General features: G+C 41.1%; 1 protein-coding gene across 5 annotated transcripts in view; it reads left to right on the top strand.

Annotated features, from left to right (window-relative positions):
• CSMD1 (CUB and Sushi multiple domains 1) overlaps nt 1-27,690 on the top strand; it is a 2,059,554-nt gene that overhangs the window by 1,832,995 nt on the left and 198,869 nt on the right. For all 5 annotated transcript variants that reach the window (XM_011534752.3, NM_033225.6, XM_011534753.4 and 2 more), the window contains 3 exons: nt 3,954-4,023; nt 10,407-10,523; nt 19,246-19,455. In XM_011534752.3, coding sequence (XP_011533054.1) covers nt 3,954-4,023; nt 10,407-10,523; nt 19,246-19,455 — 397 coding nt within the window. The remainder of the gene's footprint in view (nt 1-3,953; nt 4,024-10,406; nt 10,524-19,245; nt 19,456-27,690) is intronic.

The raw sequence follows: 27,690 nt of genomic DNA, 5'->3' as shown, positions 1-27,690 counted from the left end.
TATGCGTTCCCAATAACTATGCACAGAGCATTCTAGGGGCAAAATATCAACACTGTCTCTTTGAAAGTCCTCTCCTGGCAGCCAGTAATTGAATCTGCTTCTGTATGTGCACCTGCTACCCTGCAAACTGTTCTCATCATTCAGTATAAGTCATCATTAATGCCCTCTTTGGGCTAGGTAGATAAGGCACCAAAATAAAACATTTAAGTAAGTTTTAAAAACTATTAAGTAGAAGTTTTTCAATGAACTTTTACTATCTTCTATATAAAGAGGGTTTTTTTTTTTTTTTTTTTTTCTGAGAGGGAGTCTCGCTCTGTCACCCAGGCTGGAGTGCAGCGGCATGATCTTGATCTTGGCTCACTGCAAGCTCCGCCTCCCAGATTCAAACAATTCTCCTGCCTCAGCCTCCCAAGTAGCTGGTATTACAGGCACCTGCCACCACACCCGGCTACTTTTTGTATTTTTAGTAGAGATGGGGTTTCACCATGTTGGCCAAGCTGGTCTCGAACTCCTGACCTCAGGTGATCCACCTGCCTTGGCCTCCCAAAGTGCTGGGATTACAGGTGTGAGCTACTGTGTCCAGCCAAGAGTTTTTTATATAAAAGTTTTGATGAATGATTTATAATCTAATGTATGGCAAGAGTAGTCATTTTTCTCTTATTATTTATTATTAATATTTTCTAGTTTAACCATGAGTAAGCCTACTCTCAGAATAGTGTCTATCACTTAGCATAATTATTATATAATTCTCTCTGCCAGCAATAAAAATTGATAATCAAAACATGTATATTCTAAAGTCAGGAGAAATATATAGGTCGATTGACATTCCAGCTCTTCAGTTAATTCAGGTAATAGAATATTTTAGCTGTATGTTTATAATGACACTGACACTGATAGGTTTTAAAGGAAAATTGTTTAGCTATGTTCTTATATGCAGAGTTGCAACACTACAGCCGTGAAATAACAGCACTGTGTGGAATTCAGTTTCTGCATGTACATTGGGGTAAATATTGTGTAGCAGTGAATCAAGTTAAGAGCAAGAACAGGGGCTGGCAAACGCTGAATGCTAAAGGGGTGCATTACCAAGTGCTTTATATACAAAATCTCACTTCTCCTGATCAACCGTGGGACATGGGTACCATGTGATGTATGCTTTCAGCTTAGAGAAAATATCTGTGAAATAACTGGCACACTTTAGTATAGGAAAACTATTGTAGCTGTTATTAGAAACCAGTATCAATGTATAAAGCCACCTTCGTAAGAACAAACCTACCACTTACATTATAACACCATCTTGGTGGGTACCACAATAATTGTAACTCTGCAAAAAGATTGGAGGCAGAGCGAGAGTCTCTGTAGTGGAAACTGGTGAGTAAGGACTCCTGAAAGTTGGGATACCTCAGTAAGTTTGTAACCAAACACACTCAAGCTATTCAGGCTGAATCTTTAGGACACAACGTTCCTGATCCACCTGATATGTCAGAAAGAATTATCCTAGGCCGGTTGCAGTGGCTCACACCTGTAATCCCAGCACTTTGGGATTCCAAAGTCAGAGGATTGCTTGAATCGAGGAGTTTGAGACCAGCCTGGGCAACACAGTGAGACACCATCTCTACAAAAAATACAAAAATGAGCTGGGCATGGCGGCGCATTCCTTTAGTCCCAGTTACCTGGGAGGCTGAGGTGGGTGGATCGCTTGAAACAGGAGGCGGAGGTTGCAGTGAGCCGAGATTGCACCACTGCACTCCAGCCTAGGTGACAGAGCAAGACCCTATCTTAAAAAAAGAAAAAAAGAAAAGAATTGTCTTTCATATCTCAAGGATCTCATTTAGAGGGACACCTCAATCTGTACTGACATGCTGTTTTTGTGCCTTTTTCGGGGCTTGCTTTATAATTGCCTGAAATCAGGTAAATATCATGTTTCCTCCATTCTCCCTCAAATTCCCAAACTGTAATATTTGCTCTTGCTCATCGATGTTCCTCTTCTTTCTACCTGATGGTGAGACTTTGCAGATTCTGTTGCCGTTCTTTTATAAATGATATTATGACAGCTCTCAGAGAAGAAAATAGAAATAATTCTTTACCAAAGAAATTTCTTATAATGGATTATTGAATATGCTGCTTAGGGACACAGGCCTGTGGATGCACTTCTGCACAGTCCCAGCAGACCGTTTATTAGCTCTGTTTTTCAAATGCAAACTAAGCTGTGTTTCTTTTCTTCGTTACAAACAATGCCAAGCTTTGAGTTTGCAAGCTGCTGTTTGTCATTCACATGAGCAAAAAAGGATTCTGGATTTTTTTTGAATTGCTAACAACTGACAATTTTACTAACACTTTAATATATTTGGAACAACAGATGCATCAATTACATATTAGTCATGAAAAGCATTGTTCCTTGCATAGTTCACACGTGAGTGTCTATAAATACATATGCCTAGTGTGATTCAGGGGCTGCCATGACATCACACGCTGAAAGTAAATCCTGAATATTGGAATGATGTATGACTTCCATCTTCTCTCAACTTGTTTTAATGGTCTTTTTAAACATAAAAAAGAAAATTCCCATTGGTGTAAAAACTAGTAAATAAATGCACAGGGTCCTATCTTGTTTTGATTTATTAGAAAACTTGTAGCTAGAATCGCTCATCGGAAACGTTTATAACAAAATCAATAGCAGAATATTACCTAGATTGGTAATAAATGACCATTTTATTGGTAGTCTCTGATGAAAATTTTTTGAGACTTTTGAACTCTATGTTTTTCCCTATTTCAGAAGGAAATTTGTAAGGATAATTTAATGCGTCGAAGAATGGGGATACAGAGAGTGTCAATGCCGGCAGCACAAAATTACCTGGAGTATCTTCTTTAAAATTAAATATGGTCTTCTTTACTGTAACTACTTTTAAAAATATCAAGAGGTATGAGAAAGTTAGTTTTGTGGCAGGTGGATTGAGTATGAAATGTTTGAGAGCTTAGGGAATCGGTTTGCCATTGATAACTGCATTAGTGCAAACGCTTGTTTGATGCGTTCCCAGTGTGGCTGGAATTATTTAACATACATTAGATATTGTTTTTCAATTGCCTCTATGCCAATTGTGGGTGGCAAATGGAAATTTATGAGATAAGCAAACCTGGCTGATAAGGCCACCGAGTCACGATCAGGAAAAATATAAAAATAGGCCGCACACAGAGGTCTCATGGATCACCTCTCTTTTACTGAGAAAGAGATGTTAGCACAAAACATCTTTGAATTTAACCCTCTACTGTTTGTTTTTTTTTTCATTGAGAAAGACTGGAACAGATTTTTTAAAGTAGAAAGTGGAAAATTCATGTATTTACAGGGTAAAGAGACCCTGAGTGATGAGGGTTAATTTCATTGCAGGCAGGTTGTTGTGATGTGTGAGGATGTCTAGTGAGAAAATGAATGTGAAGTCTCCGTTCTGTGATAAAGAAACGACCCAGTGCTTTGCTGAACCCTGGTAGTCATGTGACGCGGAAGCACAGACAACCACCGAAGCTACCTCTCCATAAGCAGACTTTGTATTGCTGACATTTTGGCCTTTTAATCACCACCTAGTACTTTCTAATTGTTTTCAGCTTCTTAGGCCAAAAGCTGTAAATTCTGGTGAATGAAAAAAAAAATGCATATTTTGCCCAATTCAGTACTCTTAAGTATCAAGAAAGGAGCTGAGTCGAATTATGGTCTGGTCAAAAGGACATTGCAAGATTTTGTTTTTAGTAGAAAGAAACACGGTGAAAATGGATACTTTTCTATGTTGGTTCAAAATGTGACTCACTAATAATCATTACTAAAAACAGATTTCACAATTTTTGAATTTTCAAATATTTATAATTAAAACAAGAAAGGAAAAAATGCAGATATTCTCAAACATTTAATCCTTAAATACTCTGTTTTTAGTTATATGTATTTTCTTTTGTTTTCTTTTAAACAGGGCCGTTCCCACATTTCCTGTATGCCAGGGACCGTTCGCCGTTGGAACTATCCGTCTCCCCTGTGCATTGGTAAGGATGCACCTTCTGTAACTCTGCTGCTGCGCACACACTGGGAAGAACATGCCTGCTCTACTCTTGGGGTCAAAGAATGCACTTCTAAATTTCTTAATTTCAAAACACGTGTTATATACTAATAGCACATAATGCAGTAGAGCAGAATGATGCGTTTAACCTGCACCTTCCCCACTGGATGCAGCAACTCCGTCTTCTCAGTGTGTCTGGGTCAGCCCGCACAGACCAGAGGCAAGACTGCCCGCTCACGGCCCTGCACCAAAACGACATGTGTGTCAGAAGGCCAGTTTGTTAATTTGTGGCAAAGAAGGAATGCAGCTGGTCTGAAAGTCTGGGGAGTTTTCTGTATAGACCTTTAGCCTCAGAAAAAACAAGTTCCCAGGAAGAAAATTCAGAATGACAGATTACTGATGGAGTGATGGAGTATTTCATGTTGGAAACAGCCTGGTGACTATCTTGTGGATGCGCTCCTGGGGGCACAATCAGCCGGCTTCTTTAGGAAAAAGCTTTCCAGAGCTGTATTTAATGGCTTGAGACTCCCTAAACTGTTAGCATAGGTAATGTGATGGGAGTTTAATGATTCCAGGGGCATTGAAGGTGGTGGTCACAAGTCCCTCAGTACAAAGGTTGGTGATGTCAGGGTGCCCTTTGCTCCCCATCATTCAGGCCCCCAGCTTCACCCATCACCTATTTGTTGTAGCCCAACTCAGAAACCTTTACCTGTAGCTCAGGCAACCATTCAACCTTGCAGGTACTGTCTCAGTAGGATCATGGTCAGTTACTTGACACTCCTTACCCGCAACCCACAAAGTGATCGGCTTCTCCAAACCTATTGTTGTTCTCCTGGATCTACTTCCTCTGCGAATGCTATTAGCAGTATCCTGCTTTTTTTTTTTTTTTTTTTTTTGTCTAAACAACAAATCTGGGTATTACCTTAAATTTCTCCCTCACTCCCTAAATCCAAGTGACTTCTCACTCCTGTCACCCCTTCCACCTGAGCGTATCCTCCCCTGTGATTCTTAGCTCCAATGCCCCATCTTTAAGATGGCACAGTCCCCTCCTAAATTATCGTCTCCATGGAATCCTAACCTACAGCTCCCATATTCAGCCATACTCCAACTTTATCACAGGAAAGAGGCAAAAGGAAACATCGGCAGTACTGATCTTGTCTTTATTTAAAATTTTCATATTTTGTTCATCATAGATTTTCTGCCTTTCTTTTTATTTTTTCCAAATATTGCATTAAAATATTTATTGGAGGGTTTAGGCACCCTCTTGAATTTTGCACTGGAGAGAGTGTCCCCTCCTCAATGCTCTCTGAGCTCCCACCTGCAGGTGCAGTGAGTCATCTCTACCCTGGGCTACCACCACCATGTGCCTGACTTTACTTCCTGCAGAGTTGTAATGATATTGCTCTTTAATTTGCCCTTCTACAATCCCCAAAGGCTTTGGTGACAGAGACTTGCAATACTCACCTCTGTATCTTCAGCACATGGTAGACACTCAAGAATTTCAATTAAAGAATGGCTAGGGAATGAATGAGTATCAGAGAGCCTGGATCATTATAACAGTCACACTTCTGGGGTGCTGTCTTTATTGTTCCCCACAGTCTTCGAACACTCAAGTATTGCTGGGGGTGTGCTCAGAACCCATTTATGTCCAGACAGTCAGCCTCAAACATGCCATACTGCCAAATGGTGTTTTAGGAGAAAGTGGTCAACTCTATATGGATGAACATTAGCTATTTTAAAGGCCACAGAATAGCCTTAAAATTGTCCTGGGAGCTATTCACATTCTGTTTAGAATTCATTTCGGCGTAGTGTGGTGTGGGCACCCACAAGTAAAGCGAGGTAATTACTGTCTGTTACACATTCTTCTGACAGCCTAATTTCCCCACATCTCAAATAAATTTAGGTATTCAATGGTTTTTAGTAATACACAATTTAACTGCCTTGCATGGGATGCAGGTGAAATTGTGTACAGAGGAAAATAAAACTGCACGAAACCTGTAAAACAAAAAACTTCAGCCTTTATGATAGGCTCATCCAGGAGAGAACGTCTGTTTATGTTATGTTCACTACATCATAGTTGCTTACAAGTGAAAAATATACCTTAGAGGACAGTATCTTATTTTTAAAAGCTATGTCTTGGTAAAAATAAATGTCTAGATTAACATGTCAGCTAAAAACATTGAGCTACTTTTACAGACGTTTAAAATCCCAGCCTTGACCGGGCGCGGTGGCTCACGCCTGTAATCCCAGCACTTTGGGAGGCTGAGGCGAGTGGATCACGAAGTCAGGAGATCGAGACCATCCTGGCTAACACGGTAAAATCCCGTCTCTACTAAAAATACAAAAAATTAGCTGGGCGTGGTGGCGACCATCTGTAGTCTCAGCTACTCGGGAGGCTGAGGCAGGAGAATGGCGTGAACCTGGGAGGCGGAGCTTGCAGTGAGCCAAGATCGCGCCACTGCACTCCATCCTGGGTGACAGAGCGAGATTCTGTCTCAAAAAAAAAAAAAAAAAAAAAAAAAATCCCAGCCTTGATTTGGAAGGAAAAAATTAAAAAATTTAAAAAACGAAACAATTAAAACTGCCTTTGATTCATACAGAACATCAATCTGCCTATTTATTTTTAAATGAAGAGCCTTCCCTAAAAGTCAGGAATTGAAATTTTTTAAACTTCACAATGAAATCAATTCTAAGCAGACATAGACTCAAATAATATGCCTTTGCTGTCACTTTGTATTACATAATGGGATGTTTTATTCAAAGAATTAACTTATATTTGCAAAATATAATAGGCTTTTCTCTTTTACTTAACATCGTAAATATTAGCACATGTTTAAGTTATGTCAACTTCTGTAATTCTTTACAGGGTATACAAGTTTTTTCATTGTTTTAAAAACTCACACATGACCCATGATAAATCTCAAAGACAGATTCTAGTGATTAAAAGGTTTTTTGTAGCTGTTAGCTTTAGATTACTCCAAACTGGGGAATTGTAAGAGGAGAAGTCCATAGAGAGATAATATTTTACTTAAGAGCTCCTGGAAATCCCATGACCTAATTTTGAAAAATAAAAGTACTAATGAAGAGAATGTATATAAAACCACTTCTCTAGAGGTTAATATATCAAGCAGTGTTCTCAGAATTTAACCAGTATTGACTGTTTTGAATATTTATAACAAGCCCCAGAATGGTCTCGCAGTTTTCTAGGGCTCTACAGCTGGGTGAAGTTCATGTCACAGCAGGTGGCCCAGGACCTCCCTGTCTCACTGCACCGCAGGGCTCTTCAGCATGGTGTGTCTGTGTCCTTCAGTAAAAATTCTGTATATTCTTTCTCCCGCCAAAACCAAGAATTCACACAAAATAAGATGTATAAATCCAGTAAAATATAAGGTCTCTAGCCATTTTATAAAAATAAACTCCTTTCCCTTTACAAAAACCACATTTACCAATAACTCTAAATATGCTATTTACCTATAAGAAAGGGTCTGGCATGGAGGGAGCTTCCCAGGCAGGAGGCAGGAAGTCAGTCTGCAACTTGATGACCACACAGAGATGGACACTGAACCAATCTAAGACATGGCAAGCCCAGTCGCCTTAAAATGTCACAAAGGGCTGGGCACAGTGGCTCAGGCCTGTAATCCCCTCACTTCGGGAGGCCGAGGCAGGTGGATCACCTGAGGTCAGGAGTTCGAGACCAGCCTGACCAACATGGTGAAACCCCATCTCTACTAAAAATACAAAAATTAGCCAGGCGTAGTCGCAGTTGTGGGCGCCTGTAATCCCAGCTACTCGGGAGGCTGAGGCAGGAGAATCACTTGAACCAGGGAGGCGGAGGTTGCAGTGAGCTGAGATTGCACCACTGCAGTCCAGCCTGGGTGACAGGGCAAGACTCTGTCTTAAAAAAAAGTTACAAAGGAAGAAAAGATGGATATGCGTCTTTTGGGAGCTCTGTTTTTACGCTTATCTATTGACTTGTAGTTTTCTAGATAAGCAACATCAAAAACAAAGGATTACCGTGGTTTTAACTAAGCTCTCAAGTAATTAGGTGATTGATGCATGTTTGACAGGAGATGAACCCAGTGGTCAGGCCCATGATCAGTTTCCCATCACACAGAGAGTTGGTCTGTGTGGGACACAGACATCCGTGTTGATGATGCTGTCTACGCTGAGGTCCTGGGCCAGCCCCTCCTGCAGGGCTGCCTCAGTCCTCAGCTGAAGATATGTATGAGTGTTTGTATTTTATAATTTCCCTCTGCATGTGTGTGTGAAAATCATGCTAAAATCAAAAGGAACTTTTTAGTAATACCACATTTACTGGTTCTGTTGTTTTCCTTTTTTTGTCATTGATTCGGCCTTTTTCATTCGTGTCTTCCCTGTAGTTGTGTTACAGGAAAGGGGTTGTGATCCACACCCCAGGAGAGGGTTCTTGGATCTTGTGCAAGAAAGAATTCAGGACGAATCCGTAGAGTAAAGTGAAAGCAAGTTTATTAAGAAAGTAAAGGAACAAAAGAATGGTTACTCCATAGACAGAGCAGCCCCGAGGGCTGCTGGTTGCCCATTTTTATGGTTGTTTCTTGATGATATGCTAAACAAGCGGTGGGTTATTCATGCCTCCCCTTTTTAGACCATAGAGGGTAAGTTCCTGACGTTGCCGTGGCATTTGTAAACTGTCTTGGTGCTGGTGGGAGTGTAGCAGTGAGGACAACCAGAGGTCACACTCATGGCCATCTTGGCTTTGGTGGGTTTAGCCGGTTTCTTTACTGCAGCCTGTTTTGTCAGCAAGGTATTTGTGACCTGTATTTTGTACTGACCTTCTCTCTCATCCTGTGACTTAGAAAGCCTTCACCATCTGGGAATGCAGCCCAGTACGTTTCAGCCTTGTTTTATCCAGCTCCTATTCCAGGTGGAGTTGTTCTGGTTTAACACCTCTGACAGTTGGATATACACATCTACTGTCACTGCAGGTCCCACGAGCCCTAAGGGAAAGGGTGTTACTGCTAAATGTATGTAGGCATGCCACTCAGATTTGCTGGTGTGTCTTCCGCACATTCAGCAGCTGCATGGACAAAGTGCACATGGGAGCCTGGCCTTGCAAATGCCTAGTCTCTGCCACAAAGAAGTCGCCTTGAGAGGTTATACTTTAAATAGCAACACAGTTGATGGTGTCCAAGACTTTTCCAGAATTATGACTCACACCACAAAAATATACTTTTAAATGTTTGTAGCTCACATTTTTCAACTTATACAATGTTTGAAATCCAGAATATGGTGCCCTGGCTTGAGCAATCACCATATTCACTAGACTTAAGTTTTAGCTATTTCTCAAATTACAAATAAGTTGTTTCAGTCTTGATGATGATTAAAAAAGAAAAAGGCTTCACCACAGGTCCTAGGGGGCCTCTAAAAGAGGGCTTCCAGAAAATATTTTGTTTAAAACATTTTGCATAATGAGAGCATTGTTAGAATAAAGCCATTTCCTTTGGGCTTCCTGAAAAGAAGTGGCATCATTTGCATTAATTTTGGAATATAAGAAATTATTTTAATAGGCTACAAATGATCAAAGATTGGAACTTCAAATGCTTCGTCTTGTATCACTGGGCATGTTTGTTGTAAAATCAGTTGTGTCTCTTTGTAGTCAAACCTCAGATACAGTAGCAAAACATGTGAGTCGCCAAGATAAGGCAAGATGCATGAACTTATTTCACCCTCTCTCACAGCATAAGATTTCCTGGGGAGAAAGTGGTTGCAGTTAGCTGCCTTCCGAAATTGAAAAGCTATCTGACAGTCATGTGTGGTGGCTGAAACTTGGGTACTGGAACCAGACGCAGCTGGAATGACCTTCTGGTTGTACTGTTTACCAGGCATGTCACTTTAGGCAAATTTCTTCATCTCTTCCAGGCTTGGTTTCTTCATGTGTAAGAGGGGAATGGTAATCCTTTCAGGGTTGCTATGTGAGTTAATCTATGCAATGTATTTATCTAGGCACAGTAAGTACCACATAGTTAGCAATCAATCAATAGGGAGTAATACTACCTCTCAATGAGTAGCAGCTAATATACTGAAGTCCATTTGATGCCTGACTGTGACGCAAACATTACATGGACTCATCTTTACTGGGAGCCTTTGAGTGTGAGAGGAGAAGATGGATCTTGAAAAATGGTCTTTATTCTAAAGCAGTTCACTGTCAAGAGGGAGAGCACAGCTCATAAATAACTAAGGCACACAGCATTGTATCGTGTGCTGTAATTAGGGGCAGAATTAACTCCGAAGACTTGCTCTTTCTCAGCATAGTTGAGTGAAGCAGGTTGGAGCAAAGATTCCAGGGAGAAAGTGAGGACCTGCAGGACTGACATCTTGTCCACTTAACAGCAACCTGTGGAGGGACGCTGAGCACCTTGGGTGGTGTGATCCTGAGCCCCGGCTTCCCAGGTTCTTACCCCAACAACTTAGACTGCACCTGGAGGATCTCATTACCCATCGGCTATGGTAAGTGAAAATGTTACCAATTCCTAAAAGTTCATTTTTTTCATTTCCATCTTGGAAAGAATTAAGCAGAATAAAATGCCTTATTCTGTTGGCATAACTGTATCTGTAATTGAAAGTGGCGTACAGATTTAAATAAAGCTTTGGCAGAGTAACTTTGAGAGTGGAAAACTTATTTGAAAAATCAATTAAGCCATGCAACTCTTTTCAAGGCAAATTAAATTGGCCGAATGATGATATAGTAGGCATACGAAGTACAAAATATAGCATCCCTAATTCAATTATCAATCTCTTTATTTATAATAGCTCTTTTTCTAATCTATCTCTGGAAGTCAATAATGGTTATTGTTTCTTCTGGATAATTCTGAAGGCTTTTTAAAGGTTATGACTCCTTTTAAATATAAAACAACTTTCAAGAAATAGTATTGTTTTATACATTTTTGCTATATATTACATTGTTTTCAGGTTAATAAATAAGTTGTTTTTTTAATATCTAGTTATTAACATTTTAGGTTATTCACCTTAAATAATTCATAAATTTAATTGTTGTGTATACTATTATAGAACCTTTTTCTGGCCTCTCTTCAGAAATGCATGGTCTTTGTGAAATTTTGATCCCCTCTCACGCCTTTCCCTGTCTGCCTCCTGGTTTCCTTCGTATTTTAGTTCATTTATTTGAGTCTCCCTACTTGTGATTTTCTCTACAGCACTCACTTTAGGTAGACCAAGTTAGGTACTTAGTGAATGTCCTCGGGCAGAGTAGCTGGGTATTTCTGTACTAAATAGTAGCTGAATGATGAATGAATGAATGAATGAATGAATACAACCATAAATAGAAATAACTGCCCTGGAAGAAGATCACACACTTTATTCAAAGCTTCTGCTTTTAGAATCTGTGCCCAGGATGGCAGTAGCAGTAGGAGTGAGCAGTCAGGGTGGACTTGCTCAGCAGAGAGTGGCCGGGGAATGAACAGTCGGAATGACGGCCCGACAGGTCAATCAGGCGCTGGACGTGGGAAATGCAGTTGACCAACATGACTGTTCCACAAGAAAAGAGGAGGACTGTGGAAGAGCAGCTCGATGGGGACGGCCTGGGGAGTCCGTCACCTCCCAGTGATCTGTAGGAGGCCACGGTGGTGGTCAAGGAAGGGAGAGACTCTGTGGAAGGATTATTATAGGAGCCCCTGTTTCTCCCGGGTTTCTTGGTTTGCTGGTTTTGTTTTTTTCAGTCATACTCTCTCTGAGCATGAGGCAGTGATTCTGCCAGGGCTAAATGAAACGGAGACCTGGGAATCACCTTCAGCAACGTTGCTTCCACTGTTCTCCCAAGCTGGGCCCATCGTCCTTGCCCTGGAGATCTGGAGACATGAACTTATTGAACTAATCTTTGGAGTCAGGGGTTAAGAATTCTTTCAGAGGTATGTGTAACCCGGGATAGTTTACACAGCACTAGCGCTCTTAAGGACCGGAGCCTTGTTGGTCAAATTATTATAGTCATTAACATCAGAGAATGAGAGAAATCTGAGGCAAACTGCAGCTATCCCTGAAGGAGGTGTGGTTTTTTTAAATGAGTTAAGGCACAGGGGCTCCAGTTTCCTCCTTTCTATACCTGAAATACCCACATAAGGTTATGGTGAGGGTTAATTATAATAATTCTGGCTATTGGGAGGCGAAGGCCGGTGGATCGCAAGGTCAGGAGATCGAGATCATCCTGGCCAACATGATGAAACGCCGTCTCTACTAAAAATACAAAACTTAGCTGGGCATGGTGGCACTTGCTTGTAATCCCAACTACTTGGGAGGCTGAGGCAAGAGAATCGCTTGAACCCGGGAGGTGGAGGTTGCAGTGAGCCACGATCACGCCACTGCGCTCCAGCTTGGTGACAGAGCGAGACTCTGTCTCAATAAGTAAATGAATAAATAAACAAAAATTCTGGCTAGAAGATTAGTGCAGGGTTTGGCACGTGATAAACAACAACAACAACAACAAAAAAGTGAAACAAATAGGAAAGTCACCCAGTTGTATTTTGTATTATTCTTCCAAATGTTTGTCACCTTCTTCTCAAAACTAACTGGAAACATTGTATTTATGAATAAAATAAAATTGGTATAAATATTTTCTTAACTTATTTTTCCAATGTTACTATTTTATCATTTCTGAGAAGGGTATCATTTAGTATATTTCTGTATTTATTTTTTATTTATAAACTATTGTGCGAGAGAATAATTTGGGAAAAAACTTCAATGAAACCAAATTGTCTAAATTCATATTTGGGATCTATAAACCTAAACAAACTATTTAAAGAAAGACTGAAATGAAAAATAACTTATGAAATATCTTTAAACTGATGTAAATCTTAAAAAAATTGGATATTGCATAGCCTGAGGGTTTAAAGAGGATCTAGAAGAGGAGAAAAGAAACTTTATCTCAAATCAAACAGGCATGAAAAGTATTATCCCTAGCTTTTTAGAATAGATGTAGGTAAGCTTCAGAATAATTTGTTATAGATTACATTTGAGTAACGCACCAGGTTTGCCTGTGATAAATTCTATAACCTCTAAACAGTAATAGATACGAAGTGAGAAATTGGGAGGAGAGGCATGTGAGTGGCGATGTGTCCTCTAACGTGGTCAACATTTGGAATTATGATGCCCCTGGTAGGAGTTCTTTCTAGGGCTTAAATCATTTTCGAGCAATTTGCAGAATCTGAGAAAATTTTACTACCTAGCTTTCAACCCCACATTGTTTTATAGTGAAAAACATTTAAGTAAATTAGTTCTATGTATTCATGGCCTTCTTTAATTTCTGCGTCTTCTCCCTTGTAATATCCACTACCAGAACTTGAAGTCTCCGTTCTATGCACATGAGTTTTAAAGCAGCGTCATGAGTCTTGTTTTCAAATGTCAAACCACACTTCGGCCGCATGTGAATGATTTCCTCTGAGTCAGATTCTCCTGTTCAATTCCTAATTTATACCCACAGCACTGCACAGCTCATTTTTGTTTCTCTGAACCTTGCCTTATTCTTGTCAGCAAGCTCTTCTCAGAATCTCCGGAATCATAAGAAAATATCAGATCACACCCTTGGAAATTTTGAGGAAGTAAGTTTGGGGTTTAAGCTCAGACATCTGCACTTACAAATGAAGCACTCACTCCAGAAGTTTTTACGTAAAACAAAATGGGAATATAGCAGAGGTGACCACAATTATCTTGTAATTATGATTTCTCCCCTTTTTGATCTCTCATGTTGCTTCCTATTAACACCCAAACCATAAAGTGATTCTGGAACATTTCCTGTGGTTACAACTCAGAAAAGGGTCCCCTATTTCCTAATGGGACAAGCAGGGAGATTGAGAAGGTAGACAGGTATTTCAACTGACGTCACACAAAAAATATCTTACCAGGATAATGCTGTTAGGGTGATCTTGGTGATCAGGTTGCAAAAGAATAGCCAGAAGATTTGTCTTCCTTAATGCTGAGAAAAGGCATATATGTGATAGGTAGTTCACGCAAGTAACCAGTTAACCAGCTCCTCCTGTAAGTGCAAATGGTGCATTGCTATCACTACTCTGCCTCTCCCCTCCTCGGTTTTCAGAGGTTTGGGAAACTGTGTTAAACAATATTTCCTTTGAAGTATCACTGGAAATTTCAACAAGAAACAGACGTTATGGGAAACTTGATTGCCTTAGACCCTAAGAGAGTGTCAGATTTATAGTAATTTGTGTCTACTTAAACTTGCAACACTAAGTAACAAGGAAAATGACTGCCCCCCAGGGTGCTCAAATTTTACTGTGTGCAGGAAGCCTCAATGGCGGTTGTGCTGTTACAATGTAGCTTCCCGTGGTCTCTTTCCTAAATTCTGACTCAGTGCCCCAGCTGAAGTAGGAAATGAATTTGGCATCTTCCCGAAGCAGCTCCAGTTCCTTGGATGCTGGAGTCAGACTCCTTCAGGAAGCGTTTCTCCAATTTATAGAAGAGCACTTTCAATCTAAATAAGATGAGAAATGCACAAAGGTTTTCACAAGATTCTTACAAATATTACTTATTTAAGAAAAGTTGCTTTCGTGTAAAAATGTAGAAATCATGAGATTTTGGGAAGTTGAAAATAGAGATAGAAGATTATTGAGTATGAAACAAACAGCATGACAAATCAAAACTCCAAAGTGAATTACAAAAGAAAAAAGAAAAAATCGTTCTTGCAAAACATTCTTAAATGTAATTTCTAGGCTTCAGATTGTATCTCTAGTATCTGAACATACATATCTGTTTCCTTGATTGACAGTTTTGGGATTTGGATTCTCAGGGCACAGCTGTCCTACCAGTAAGCGTTGCTCCTCCAGTTACTCTGAGTAATAACACTTATCCGGAATATAAGACGTTATTGCCCCTTCTTGAAGAAAAATATATGGGATGTTTTTCACCTTGGGAGGATTTTATTGGGTATTATGAATCTTCCCATACAACTGGATAAGCATGGGATTGCCTGATCGATTGTCTAATCCAGGAGTTAAGCAGTTGCCAGTTTAGTCAAATAATTATTTTGATTAACTCTACTCCCAGAGCCCATTCCCATGGATCGAGCCACAATTTAAATAAGCAAAAGCGATTAACTGGTTTGGCATCATGTGGAAATCATCTTACCTGGCTTTCCTAATTACTCATTCCAGAAACAGCTGTTTTCTATACCCTGCCTCAGTAACCGACAGTGACCTACTGCGGGACAGTGACCCACACAGCCTGTCCCTCAAAATGACCAAGGGAACTCTAGCCAAAAGAACTGAGGCAGTTGGCAGCATAAGCTGTGGTTGCTCACAATTTTAGGCTCTGAGTTTAGCTGAGTAGAAATCTTAGTCCTACCAATGATTGCACAAGATACTCAAATGTTTTTGAAACTTGTTTCCTTATTTTTAAAGGGAATATAATATATCAGTCCCATAGGGCTATTTTGAAGTATTGTAAATGCATGAAATAGGGTATTATTTAAGTGCTGTTTTTAATAGTTAAACCAAATTCTAGTTTACTTATCTAGTAGCTAAACCTGATAGTTGTGTGCCATTTTCTTTCCTTTTCACAGACTTGGCTTGTTGTTTTGTGATGCTCTGGCAGAGCTCAACCAACTCAGGATTTCGGTCTCCGTTTTCTTGAGAGTGTCTAAGGGCACAGTTAACAGAAATGCAATGAAGCTTTCTGTCTGCCTTACCCCATTATCTTTTATACTTAAAATCTACTGCACTAATAGTGCACACAATGCTCTCCAAAATTACCATGCCATCAGACTTTCTAGAAACATAGGGACAATATAAAAGGTTCTTTAGAATGTTCAATAAATTCCATAGGTATTAACACTTTTGCTATATTTTATTACACACAGAAGGTGCAAAACAGAGGAAGTAATATTCACAGGTTCTATCAACTAAAAACTAGGGTTTAACTCTGAGATCATGGTCACATTACTATTCAAAGTTTTGTCAATGCCAAAGGCAAAAATTCTCTGTGCAGGTGACTTGTCACTGGCACTTAATTTTCAATATGTAATCCCAATGGGATAAGACAGTGCTGGGTAAGTTCCACCAAAGGTAAGTATTCAGATTTTTTATTGTTATTGAAATAATATATATGCTTTAGTACTCTCTGAGACAATAGAAGGATAACCAGGTTATGCTTATTTTAATCCTTTTATTTGGGCTTTACAATGTCAAACTGGATGCAATTTGCTGAAAATTAGATAGCTAGATAATTCTATTTTAAGCCAGATTAGAGCTGGGCTCTGTTCTATTTTCTGATATGTATTAGGTAGTTTGATATGTGGCTGTATAATTTATCCTGCTTAAAATGGTAATTTTGCTCACAATATTATAATTGTCATAATTCCATTTCCTTTTCAAACTGAATTCCAAATCAGTAACAAACCACTTTCACTAGATCCTGTACTTTTGAGACGTTGGATGTCCTCCATTTCTTTGCACCCTGATCCCCTTGCAAGTTGTTATGTTTCGTGACTGTGCCGGTTCATGAATTTCAAAATGTGTTTCTGGATAAATATATCTGAAGTCTGCATATGCGCATCTGAAGTGAGCACATTCTCAGCCATTTCCCTACCATAAAATATTAAGTGTTCCAATCTGGCCCCGGTTTTCCTTCTGTCTGGTACTCTGGACATACGTAGAAGTGCCAGCAATTCAGCAGGTTGTTTTTTGTTACTCTCGGGTCAGCTTCTTGATTCCGCCTGATTGGGATTAATGTGAGCAATGTCTATAAAACTCTGTGGAGCACATGGATTCAATGTTCATAAGGCAGTCACACAAACACACGTGCACACAGACACACAAATGCATGCATGCACACACACACACACAACTCTTTACTCTAGTTTACTTATTAGTAACAAGATTCATTCTTATTAGATTTGTGGGCATACCGCCAAACTGTGTTTTTAGCTCAGTAGTGGGAAGTGGACAAGCAGATCTGGATGTGCCACTGGCTGGGCAGTCCAGGAGCGCAGCTGTCACAGCAGGCAGAGGAGACAGCTCCAAACCAAGGGACACAGGAGCCCCTGGACCCCCTCCCTCCCTTACCCCTTCTCCCTCCCTCCCTCCCCCCCCCCCTTGTTGCCTCTTTCTCTCCCTTTTTTTCTTTCTTTTTTTCTCACTTCTGAGTTCCTTTTAAACAAAAATATTTTCTGGAATTTAGAAACAATAGCTCACTGGTGGTTGTTCAACAAACAGCAGTATTTGACATTTTTGAATATTTGCAGAAATGTTGTAAATTTAAAGAGTTGCTCCACCTTGATTATATACAGCAGACGATGTTAGAATGGCCAAGACCATCACAGGTCCTTTCTTGACTGGCGATGTAGTACCGGTCTATAGACTTGGACAACGTGATATGAATCTAGTTACTCATTCTAAAAAGAATTCTAAATTTTGCTTAAATTATTAAAGATCTTTCTTTTTCTTCTGTATTTTGTCTCCTCAGCCACATCCTGCAGTTTTTCACGTTCTATTTTTTTTAATTCATCCTCTTTCAATCTAGGTTGAACATAATACAAACTGATTTTCTCCAAGAAGAGTGGAATATTTTTACCATCATGAGACTGTCAGCTCTTGTCTAGTCTATTGGCATACCAAACCAGAAAAAGTGAGGCCTTTGTCCGTTAGTGCGGGGTTAAACTTCACTCTGCCATTTCCCGTGTGACATGAGACAGAACATCTAACATTTCAGAGCCTTAGTTTGCTCGCCTGTAAATTATGAGCACGGTGATGATTACTGTGCTGGGAGCAAACTTGGTTGGCAAATCGGACCCCAGGCATACTGTTGGCCCTACGTGATGCCCACCAAGCAGGGCACTATTTACCCTTTTGCTTCTCCCTGCCAAGTTTCTCCATAATTAATGAAATTGTTTTTCTTGTATGACTTTAAATTTTGTTGAGAGATTTTAGGTGTTTCCTCCCTACAATTTTTCACTTGGACTTTTTTCTTCCTTTTTACAAAGTACTGCCCTCTGACAACTGTGTTTTCCTTTGACACCTGAGTGGATGTGTTTGTGTGAATATTTTTATGCACTTCCAATGAAGTAGGAAAACCCAAGTAGGTGTTATCTTTAATTTTCCCAATCTAGGAAATATATTAGATGCAAAAATTTTTTTAAAGTTCTCATCTATCAAAAACAGAAGAACCATGCAGAGTAAAGCTTTCTTTTATACTGGAATAACACTCTACAACTGCTGTTAGTTGGCTCAGTTTAGGTTTTACGGCCCAGCTTAACTGCATGGACTTATGCAAAGACTAATGTCTTTGGAGTTCTATATAAATTGCTTAAATGAGTTAGAATATCTAAGACATAGTAGTCAAATAAGTTTTCAAAAAAAATGCCACAATGCAAATAACTCTCAATTATTTTTATTGTTTCCTTTTAAATTATCAGCCATAGTTTATTTAATTCACAGATGAGTATGATATCAGAGATACTGGTCATTTGAACAGTCTTTTGGTATTCTCAACTGTGCCAGGCTGTTAGATTTAATTGTGAGAGTTATGGTGCGGTTGATTAGATTGGGTTTCTCACAAACATCAATAATTTGTTTTGCACACGTAACACAATAGAAAATGACCGCTTGCTAAACTAATAAACTTGTGCTATGGTATGACCGTCCAGTTAGTAAAAGCCACCTTTAAAGTTGGTTGCATAGAACTGTGGGACAAGGCAAACAGACAAAATAAACAGACAAACACAAAATAAAAACAAAAAAAACTCTGTGGCATGTTTTAAAACCAAAATTGTTGTTGTTGTTGTTGTTTTTCCTTGATAAAGCTATCAGTTAGCTTTTGGGTGATGTAACAGATGATCACAACTTCATATTTAAGATTGTCATAATTGTAAAAGTCACCGGACAAAATCATCCCCGAGTGCGTGTGTGCTAGTTGTTACCTAAGGATTCCACCTGTGTAGCTCTGTGGTACGGTGCTGGTAATATTCATATTTCACAAACAAATTGACTTCTGGACGTGAGTGTCATGGAAAAAGACCATGCGGCAAAAAGTGGCAGAGGTAAGATGGAGCCAGGGTTTGCTGTCATCCACAGTGAATGCCGTCCTCCACGGCATGGTTCTGTCTCACAGAGAGGGATTGTCTGGGGAGACTGCTAACACTTCAGTCCCTTTTTATGAGCATTGATTTTATACATTTTGATATGAACTTTCATTAAGTTTGCATGTTTTTCCATAGGTGCACATATTCAGTTTCTGAATTTTTCTACCGAAGCTAATCATGACTTCCTTGAAATTCAAAATGGACCTTACCACACCAGCCCCATGATTGGACAATTTAGCGGCACGGATCTCCCCGCGGCCCTGCTGAGCACAACGCATGAAACCCTCATCCACTTTTATAGTGACCATTCGCAAAACCGGCAAGGATTTAAACTTGCTTACCAAGGTATGGAACAACAACGAGAACCGAAACCCAAATCTAAATACACTTCTTACATGTAAATTGTATTTAAGTATAAATCTCCCTAACTGGTTCCAAGCTTGTACGAGTGGAATAATTTTTTGGTGGAATGTTGGTTTCTGGTTAGTAGTGGAACACTTGTTGTTTTTGAAAACAGAGGTAAGGACACAGACGGAACCACCAGTGGGTTCGCCTTTTCTGCTGCCCAGACAGAGCCGATTTATCAAGACGGGAATTGCAATGGAGAAAGAGTAATTCACGCAGAGCCAGATGTGTGGGAGACCGGAGTTTTATTGTGACTCAATTCAGTCTCCCCAGCATTCAGGGATTCAAGTTTTTAAAGATAATTTGGCGGCCGGGCGCGGTGGCTCACGCCTGTAATCCCAGCACTTTGGAAGGCCGAGGCGGGCGGATCACGAGGTCAGGAGATCGAGACCATCCTGGCTAACACGGTGAAACCCCGTCTCTACTAAAAATACCAAAAATTAGCTGGGCATAGTGGCGGGCGCCTGTAGTCCCAGCTACTCGGGAGGCTGAGGCAGGAGAGTGGCGTGAACCCGGGAGGCGGAGCTTGCAGTGAGGAGAGATCGCGCCACTGCACTCCAGCCTGGGCGACAGAGCCAGACTCCATCTCAGAAAAAAAAAAAAAGATAATTTGGCGGGCAGGGGCTTGGGAAGCCGGTAGTGCTCATTGGTCAGGTTGGAGATGGAATCACAGGGGGCGGAAGTGAGTTTTTCTTGCTGTCTGCTGTTCCCGAGTGCGATGGCAGAACTGGTTGGGCCAGATTACCGGTTTGGGTGGTGTCAGCTGATCCACCAGGTGCAGGGTCTGCAACATATCTCAAGCACTGATGTTAGGTTTTACAATAGTGATGTGATCCCAGGAGCAATTTGGGGAGGTTCAGACTTGGAACCAGAGGCTGCATGACCCCTAAACCATAATGTCTAATCTTACAGGTAATTTGTTAGTCCTGCAAAGACAGACTGGTCCCCAGGCAAGAAGGGGGTCTTTTCGGGAAAGGGCCATGATCAATTTTGTTTCAGAGTCAAACCAGGAATTGAATTCCTTCCCAAATTAATTCAATCTATGTCCAGGAATGAACAAGGACAGCTTAAAGGTTAGAAGCAAGATGGAGTTGGTTAGGTCTGGTTTCTTTCACTGTCATAATTTCCTCAGGTATAATTTTGTAAAGGCGGTTTCACAGACGCACAGGGGATGATGAGGTACGGGTGTTACCTAAGCTTCACCTGTACTCCCATCCCACCTGCACACACTCTCTCCCATGGCCGTAGTCAACTGTGTGCTCAACTGGGGAGTCTCATCATCATGTAGCTTTCCCATTTGTCACTATGTCCCTCTGAGCTCTCGTCCCTTCAGGACACAGAGAGTCCCATTGTGCACGGAGTTGATCCATATGGCAGTAAGTCTGTAGGTCTCTCAGGTATGTATGCCTTGCCTTAGCACAGATAATGGGTACCTGCATTGTTCATGTTCAACTTTCACCACAAAAAGAGAAAAAAAATCAGTGATTGAACTTTATCCTTTTTATTCCTTCAAATATGCAATCTCTAAGAAAAGTTTGCATCATCAAAGCATTTTTGACATGTGAAAAAGTTCAACATTTTAATTTCATGCAAAATAATTTGTATGGCCTTTCCTTGAATATTGCTAGATCAAATGAGGTTGAAAACGTTAAATCTAGAGCCTAACTTTTTTTTTTTTTAATATAGTTAAATCACTTGTTTCCCTAATTCCACAGAATGCTTAGAAACAGGGCTTTGATATTTATTACTGAAAGAGGCTAGTATTTTATGATGAACTCTTTGGCATTATTATGTGTAGTCTCACCTAAAATATAAAATATAGACACAGACTTCCAGGATTGAGGTCTGTTAAACTGGAAATCTAGGTAGGAGCAAAAAAGAGAGGAAACTGGAGACTAAACCAGTGAGCAATATGTCTCTAGACATTGCCAGCATTTTTCTATGAAACACTCTTTCTGTGTTCCCCTTCTTTATTTTCTTACTACTTAGCAAACAGTATCACTCACTAATCATTCCCTACTTGAAGCACGAGAGAGAAAAACAGAGAGAGAGAGACAGAGAGAGAGAGAGAGAGAGAACATCAGAGAGGAAGCAACTTCCCACAACAAAATGGATACAGATCTGCTTGCCTGTGCATCTATTCTCTGCTCTCTCTCTTTTTCAATGGAAGAGAATGTACCTCCTACTTAAGGGTAATCGGGGCTGGGTGTGGTGGCCTCACGCCTGTAATCCCAGCAGTTTGGGATGCAGAGGCGGGCTGATCACCTGAGGTCAGGAGTTTGAGACCAACCTGGCCGATATGGTGAAACCACATCTCTACTAAAAATACCAAAATTAGCCGGCACATGATGGCAGGCGCCTGTAATCCCAGCTACTCAGGAGGCTGAGACAGGAGAATCACTTGAACTCGGGAGGCGGAGGTTGCAGTGAGCCAAGATCACACCATTGCACTCCAGTCTGGGTGACAGAGGGAGACTCCATCTAAAAAAAAAAAAAAAAGAAAGAAAGAAAAGAAAAAAGAAAGAAAAAAAACGGTAATCTATCCTATGCTCTAGGTACCTCTCTTCCTACTATTTCAGAGACATTATTTAGAGAATATTTTCTATTTCTGCATTTTCAGCTACTATCCATGAAATTTTCCCCAATAGCATCTTGAATATAACTCAGATCTGTCTCTCACACATCGACACACACACATACACACGTACATATCTATTTATAATTTTAATGTACCTTGGACCTCTTGTCTTCCTCCAGCTTCTAATTTCTAAAACATAGTTCCAGAAAACTTATGTAAACATTCTCAATTTCTACACCTGTTTTTCACTTCTCCTATCTATTTACCTGGTGTCTAACATGATGGGGTCTTCTATCGACAAGATCTTCTATTGCAGGAGATGTTAATGTCACTAGCCCTGGAGGCACACTTCCTTTCTCATGTCTCCTGGTGACATCCAGCATGGCTACCATTTCTCTTGACGCCCTTTTCCCTTGGCTTCAGGGGCCAGAAAATCTCTGGGTTATTCTGCTATCTCTCTGGCTAAGTTGTTATTTTCTTTGCTTCCTTGACCACTTCTAACTGACTTTAGCTATATAGGAGGTTGGAATCCTCCTATATTTCCATCCTATGCTTTCCGTGATTCAAACTCCTGGATTCAAAGCCCATGATGGCCATTCACAGCTGATAACTCTTGTGCCTGTGCCTCCAGCTCAAGTCTTCTGCAAGCGCCAGGACACAATGTTTGTTTTCCACCTCCTCTGGGAATGACGCAGGCACTGAAACATGTGCCCGAAGCTGAGCTCGCAGTTTTGCTTCCCAGCTTATCCTCCAGTGCCCCCATCTCACTAAGTGTGAGGTGCAGTGTTCCTGGAATCTGCGGCTGCCTCCCTGTGTCACCACCAGTAGCCGTAACTGCTCTCAGACCTTTCTCCTAGAAAATGGCCAAACTCCTAAATGTCTTTCCAGATTTACTCTTCCAACTTCTCTCTTCTTTCCAAAAGGCAGACCGGACTTATTCCTTTTGTGATGAAAGCGTTTACCATGCTTTCTTAGATTTTCAGGAAATCGTTCAACATCTATAAGGATCTGCTGTCTCTCTGGCTAAGCTCTTATTTCTGTCTCCCAGGCTGTGGTTCTTTCTCTGTCTCGATTCTCACTTGCCCCTCTGAAATATCTCCAGCAGCCACAGTCCTTTCTACCTCAGAGCTCTTGCACGTGTAGCAATCTCAGCCTGCAATGCTTTCCATCTCCACTCCCACTCTTTGGTTAGTCATTCGGAACTGTTTCTATGTAATACCCTGCAGGAGGCAATGTCTGAGTACTCCGACCAGGGGAGGTCTCCTCATTCAGAAGCTTGAATTCTGATGTGCTTCTTCTTGTGTGCTGGTCACGAGCATTCCCACCAAATCTCTCCCATTCTCTCTACTTCTGGACTCAGGATAGAGGTGCCTTCAAAATGAAGTGTGGTGGTGTGACTTGCTTTCAGTGATGAAATTGGAGTGAATGTCACTTGGGATGGAACCCTGAAGAGCCAAAATTTAGTTTGCTCTAATGGCCACTCAGTCATCTGGATCCCTGAGTATCTACAGGAGTAGAGTTCCCTGCCATCCCAACCTGGAACCAGAAGGAAGCTGCCTTATTTTAAGTCACTGAGATATGGGATATGGTTTTTTGTTTTCGAGAGGGAATCCCACTCTGTTGTCCAGGCTGGAGTGCAGTGGCACAATCTCAGCTCACTGCACCCTCTGCCTCCCAGGTTCAAGCAATTCTCCTGCCTCAGCCTCCCAAGTAGCTGGGATTACAGGCACCCGCCACCATGCCTGGCTAATTTTTTTATTTTTAGTAGAGACAGGGTTTCACCCATGTTGGCCAGGTTGGTCTCGAACTCCTGACCTCAGGTCATTTGCCCTCCTCATCCTCCCAAAGTGCTGGGATTACAGGCATGAGCCACTGCGCCCAGCCGGGATATTGTTGTTAATGCCATATAAATGAACCTAGACTGACAGGCATACCCTGGGACTTTTTAAAATCAGGAATTTATTGTATACAGTCAGCCCTCTGCATCCATGAGTTCTGCATGTGTGGATTCAAGCACTAGAGATCAGAATATTCTGAAATACACAACACATGGTTGTGTTTCCACTGAACATGCACAGACTCTTTTTCTTATCATCGTTCCCTGAGCGATACAGAATAACAACTATTTACACGGCATTTGCTTTGTGTTCAGTATTATAAGAAATTTAGAGATGGCTTCAAGTATACAAGAGAGTGTGCTTAGATTTTATGAAAATGCACCATTATTTTATATTCCTCCTGTAACCCACCTGCAAAAGCCAAGGGACAACTGTATTTCTATGTTTAAAGGATGCCTTACTGAAAACAATACACTGCATGAAGGTGACGGTCATTTCTGTTTTACCTCGCTCCGCGCTCAGCAGGAAGCGCAGTGCCTTACCTGTAATTGCTCCCCAGTGCACACCTGTGAGCTCCATACTTGAGGTGTTTATTCCCCCTGATGCTAAGGGACTTTCTGCCGTGCTGCATATACATTTTCGGAAGCACCTGTGCAGGGCTTGCCTTTATTTGTTTGAGGTCTGTGCTCCGGCTTCCTCATTAAATTAAATCAATTTTTAGTCCCTACGCATTGCGGATATTGCTAGCAAAACTCTTTTAAAGGATAAAAAATTGTAGCTAGATAGGAGGAATAAGGTCTAGTGTTCTCTAGCCCTTTAGGGTGACTGTAGTCAACAATAATATGTCCCATCATTTCACAGAGCCAGGAGGATATTGAACATTCCCCCCACAAAGAAATGATAAAGGCTGGAGATGATGAACATACAGATGTAGTAATTACCCAGATCTGATCACTTAGATTATATGTATTGAAACATCACTATGTACCCCATGAATATGTGCAATTATTATCTCTCAATTAAAATAATAAAATTTAAAAAAAATATGTTTTTAAATTCAAAACAGTATTACATAGAAAAAAATTTTTAAAAAAATTTAGCCAATTCATGTCACTGCAGATACTGGCACAAATACCATGTGTCCAGTCTTGGTAATGTTGGATTTTGTAGAAGGCTTCTTTAAGGGATTGTGCTTTCAGCCAGAGAAGTATCAGTTACCCAGGGATGGTGGGATTCACAGTTACTTTCAGGAAACATGACCCCAAGGATTACCTCAGGCACTGGTGGTCCTACCCATGTGTGCAAACAGCTCTGAGTGTACCCTGGGTATAACCACTGATATAAAAATATTATCAATGGCAGTGGTGTTCTTCTCTTCTATTCACTGCATCTCTTCCGTCGCTACCAGAAATCCGAAAGGGATGAGCCGGTCACGGTGGCTCATGTCTGTAATCCCAGCACTTTGGGAGGCCGAGGTGGGTAGATCAGCTGAAGTCAGGAGTCGGAGATCAGCCTGGCCAACATGGTGAAACCCCGTTTCTACTAAAAATACAAATACTAGCTGGGCATGGTGGGGAGCGCCTGTGATCCCAACTTCTCAGGAGGCTGAGGCAGGAGAATCGCTTGAACCTGGGAGACCAGAGACCGGGGTTTGTAGTGAGCCGAGATCATGCCATTGCACTCCAGTCTGGGTGACAGAGCGAAACTCTATCTCGGGGGGCAAAAAAAAAAAAAGAAAAAAAAAAGGCTTGGTTGTCCTCTCTGCAACACATAGACACGTGTATCACTGTTACATATAATTGTGAAAATAGAGCCTTGATCATATTCTAGGACTAACCCGGACTCCATAGATGAGCCATCAATTAGTGGCTAGATGTAATGCATGAGGGGGGGACAAAGATCCAGGATGTTCCCCATGAGTCTGCCCTCTTTGATTGTAAATGATAGAAATCTGAATGAAACTAGTTTAGGAAAGAAGTGCAAGGTGACAGCTGTGTGGGCTGGGGCATGTCTGGAGCCTGGGCCTCAGTGACACCTGAATTCTTTTTGCCCCTGTTGTGATTTTCATAGCTTTTTCTGCCCTAATACACATGGATGATATGTCCCCAATCTAACCATACCCTGCTCAGCAAGGACAGGACCCTGCTTCTCCTACTGCAATTGCTAAACATTTTGGGAACACTTTCTTGGTGGGCCAGCTTGTGTCTAAGTCCAGCCACTGAGGCCAGGTGGACAGAGACTATGTGTTAGGTCAACTTGGGTCACAGAGTCAGAAATGTGATCAGCAGACTTCACTCAAGAGCATGTTTTAAAGGGGAAGAAGCCGGTTCACAGAGTCAGAAATGTGATCAGCAGACTTCACTCAAGAGCGTGTTTTAAAGGGGAAGAAGCCGGTTCACAGAGTCAGAAATGTGATCAGCAGACTTCACTCAAGAGCGTGTTTTAAAGGGGAAGAAGCCGGTTCACAGAGTCAGAAATGTGATCAGCAGACTTCACTCAAGAGCATGTTTTAAAGGGGAAGAAGCCGGTTCACAGAGTCAGAAATGTGATCAGCAGACTTCACTCAAGAGCATGTTTTAAAGGGGAAGAAGCCAGTTCCTTTAAGAAGGTACCTGGAAAAACAACATAATACATATGCCATGGAACAGTGATATAATTGGATTAAAACTCTATGTAAATGAAGTATTTGTATGCAAGAGATTTTTATTAGTGTTTTCTTATGTCCTCATGTGCTTCTGCAGAAGTATTATTAGTTGGTTTGGAAGAGCTAATTGCCCCTGTTTTACTATATTAAAAATAAATTGCAGCACTTTGGGAAGCCAAGGCGGGAAGATTGCTCAAGGCCAGGAGTTCAAGACCAGCCTGGGTAACATGGTGAGACCCTGTCTCTACAAAAAATTAGCTGGGCGTGGTGTTGGACACCCGTGGTCCTGGCTACTTGGGAGGCTGAGGTGGGAGGACTGCCTGAGCTTGGGAGTTCAAGGCTGCAATGAGCTGCCATCACATCACTGCACTCCAGCCTGGGCATCAAAGTGAGACCCTGTCTCAGTAATAATAATGACAATAATAACTGTTACGTATGGTGTGCTCACTCTGCGCCACACTCTATGCTTCCTGATTTCCACATAAATTCCAAGGGTTATGCACATTTCACAGATAAGAAAAATGAGGCTCAGAGAGGTTGGCAAATTGTGAAAATGTGCACAGCTGCCTGTGGAAGTATGATTTGGAATCAAGTCTGCTAGACACCAAAGTAGTAGTGTCAGCCAAGCTATTGTATTTCAGCAGAAGGAAGGGAAATGAAGTCTTTGGATTCTAAATCCAACGATTTAGTCAGTGCACTAACAGGGGAAAGAATGTTTAAACCTAATGAAGTCAGTTTAAAAAGAACAATTTTCTCCCACAAGTTGCAAAACCACTCGACCATCCCTAAGCTGCAGAACGGCCACTGTGGGAAAACTCCGATCACAGTTTTTCGTTTTGGACCTGACACCTGACAGATCTGCCTGCTCCTCTCAAGTTTTACGGCTGTGAAAATAGCCTCGCCAAAACCCTGAGAGTCAAACGTTCTCCACAAGGACTTGCAGCGCATGCCTTCGTGGTTGGATGCAGGTGCTGCCTGTGACCGTGGAATCCAGATGTCCGCTGTGGCTGCATTGCCTCTTGCAGATCCAGGGTCATGGTTCAGGAACTGCCTAACATCACGGCCTCCGGACATCAGAACCCTTGCCCTTGATTTGTGCAGCAAACACTGGCAGA

This window comes from Homo sapiens, chromosome 8 (genome assembly GCF_000001405.40).
Source record: "Homo sapiens chromosome 8, GRCh38.p14 Primary Assembly".
Lineage (NCBI taxonomy): Eukaryota > Metazoa > Chordata > Mammalia > Primates > Hominidae > Homo > Homo sapiens.
Note: the sequence above shows the minus strand (reverse complement) of the source record. Positions and strands in the feature narration are given on the sequence as shown.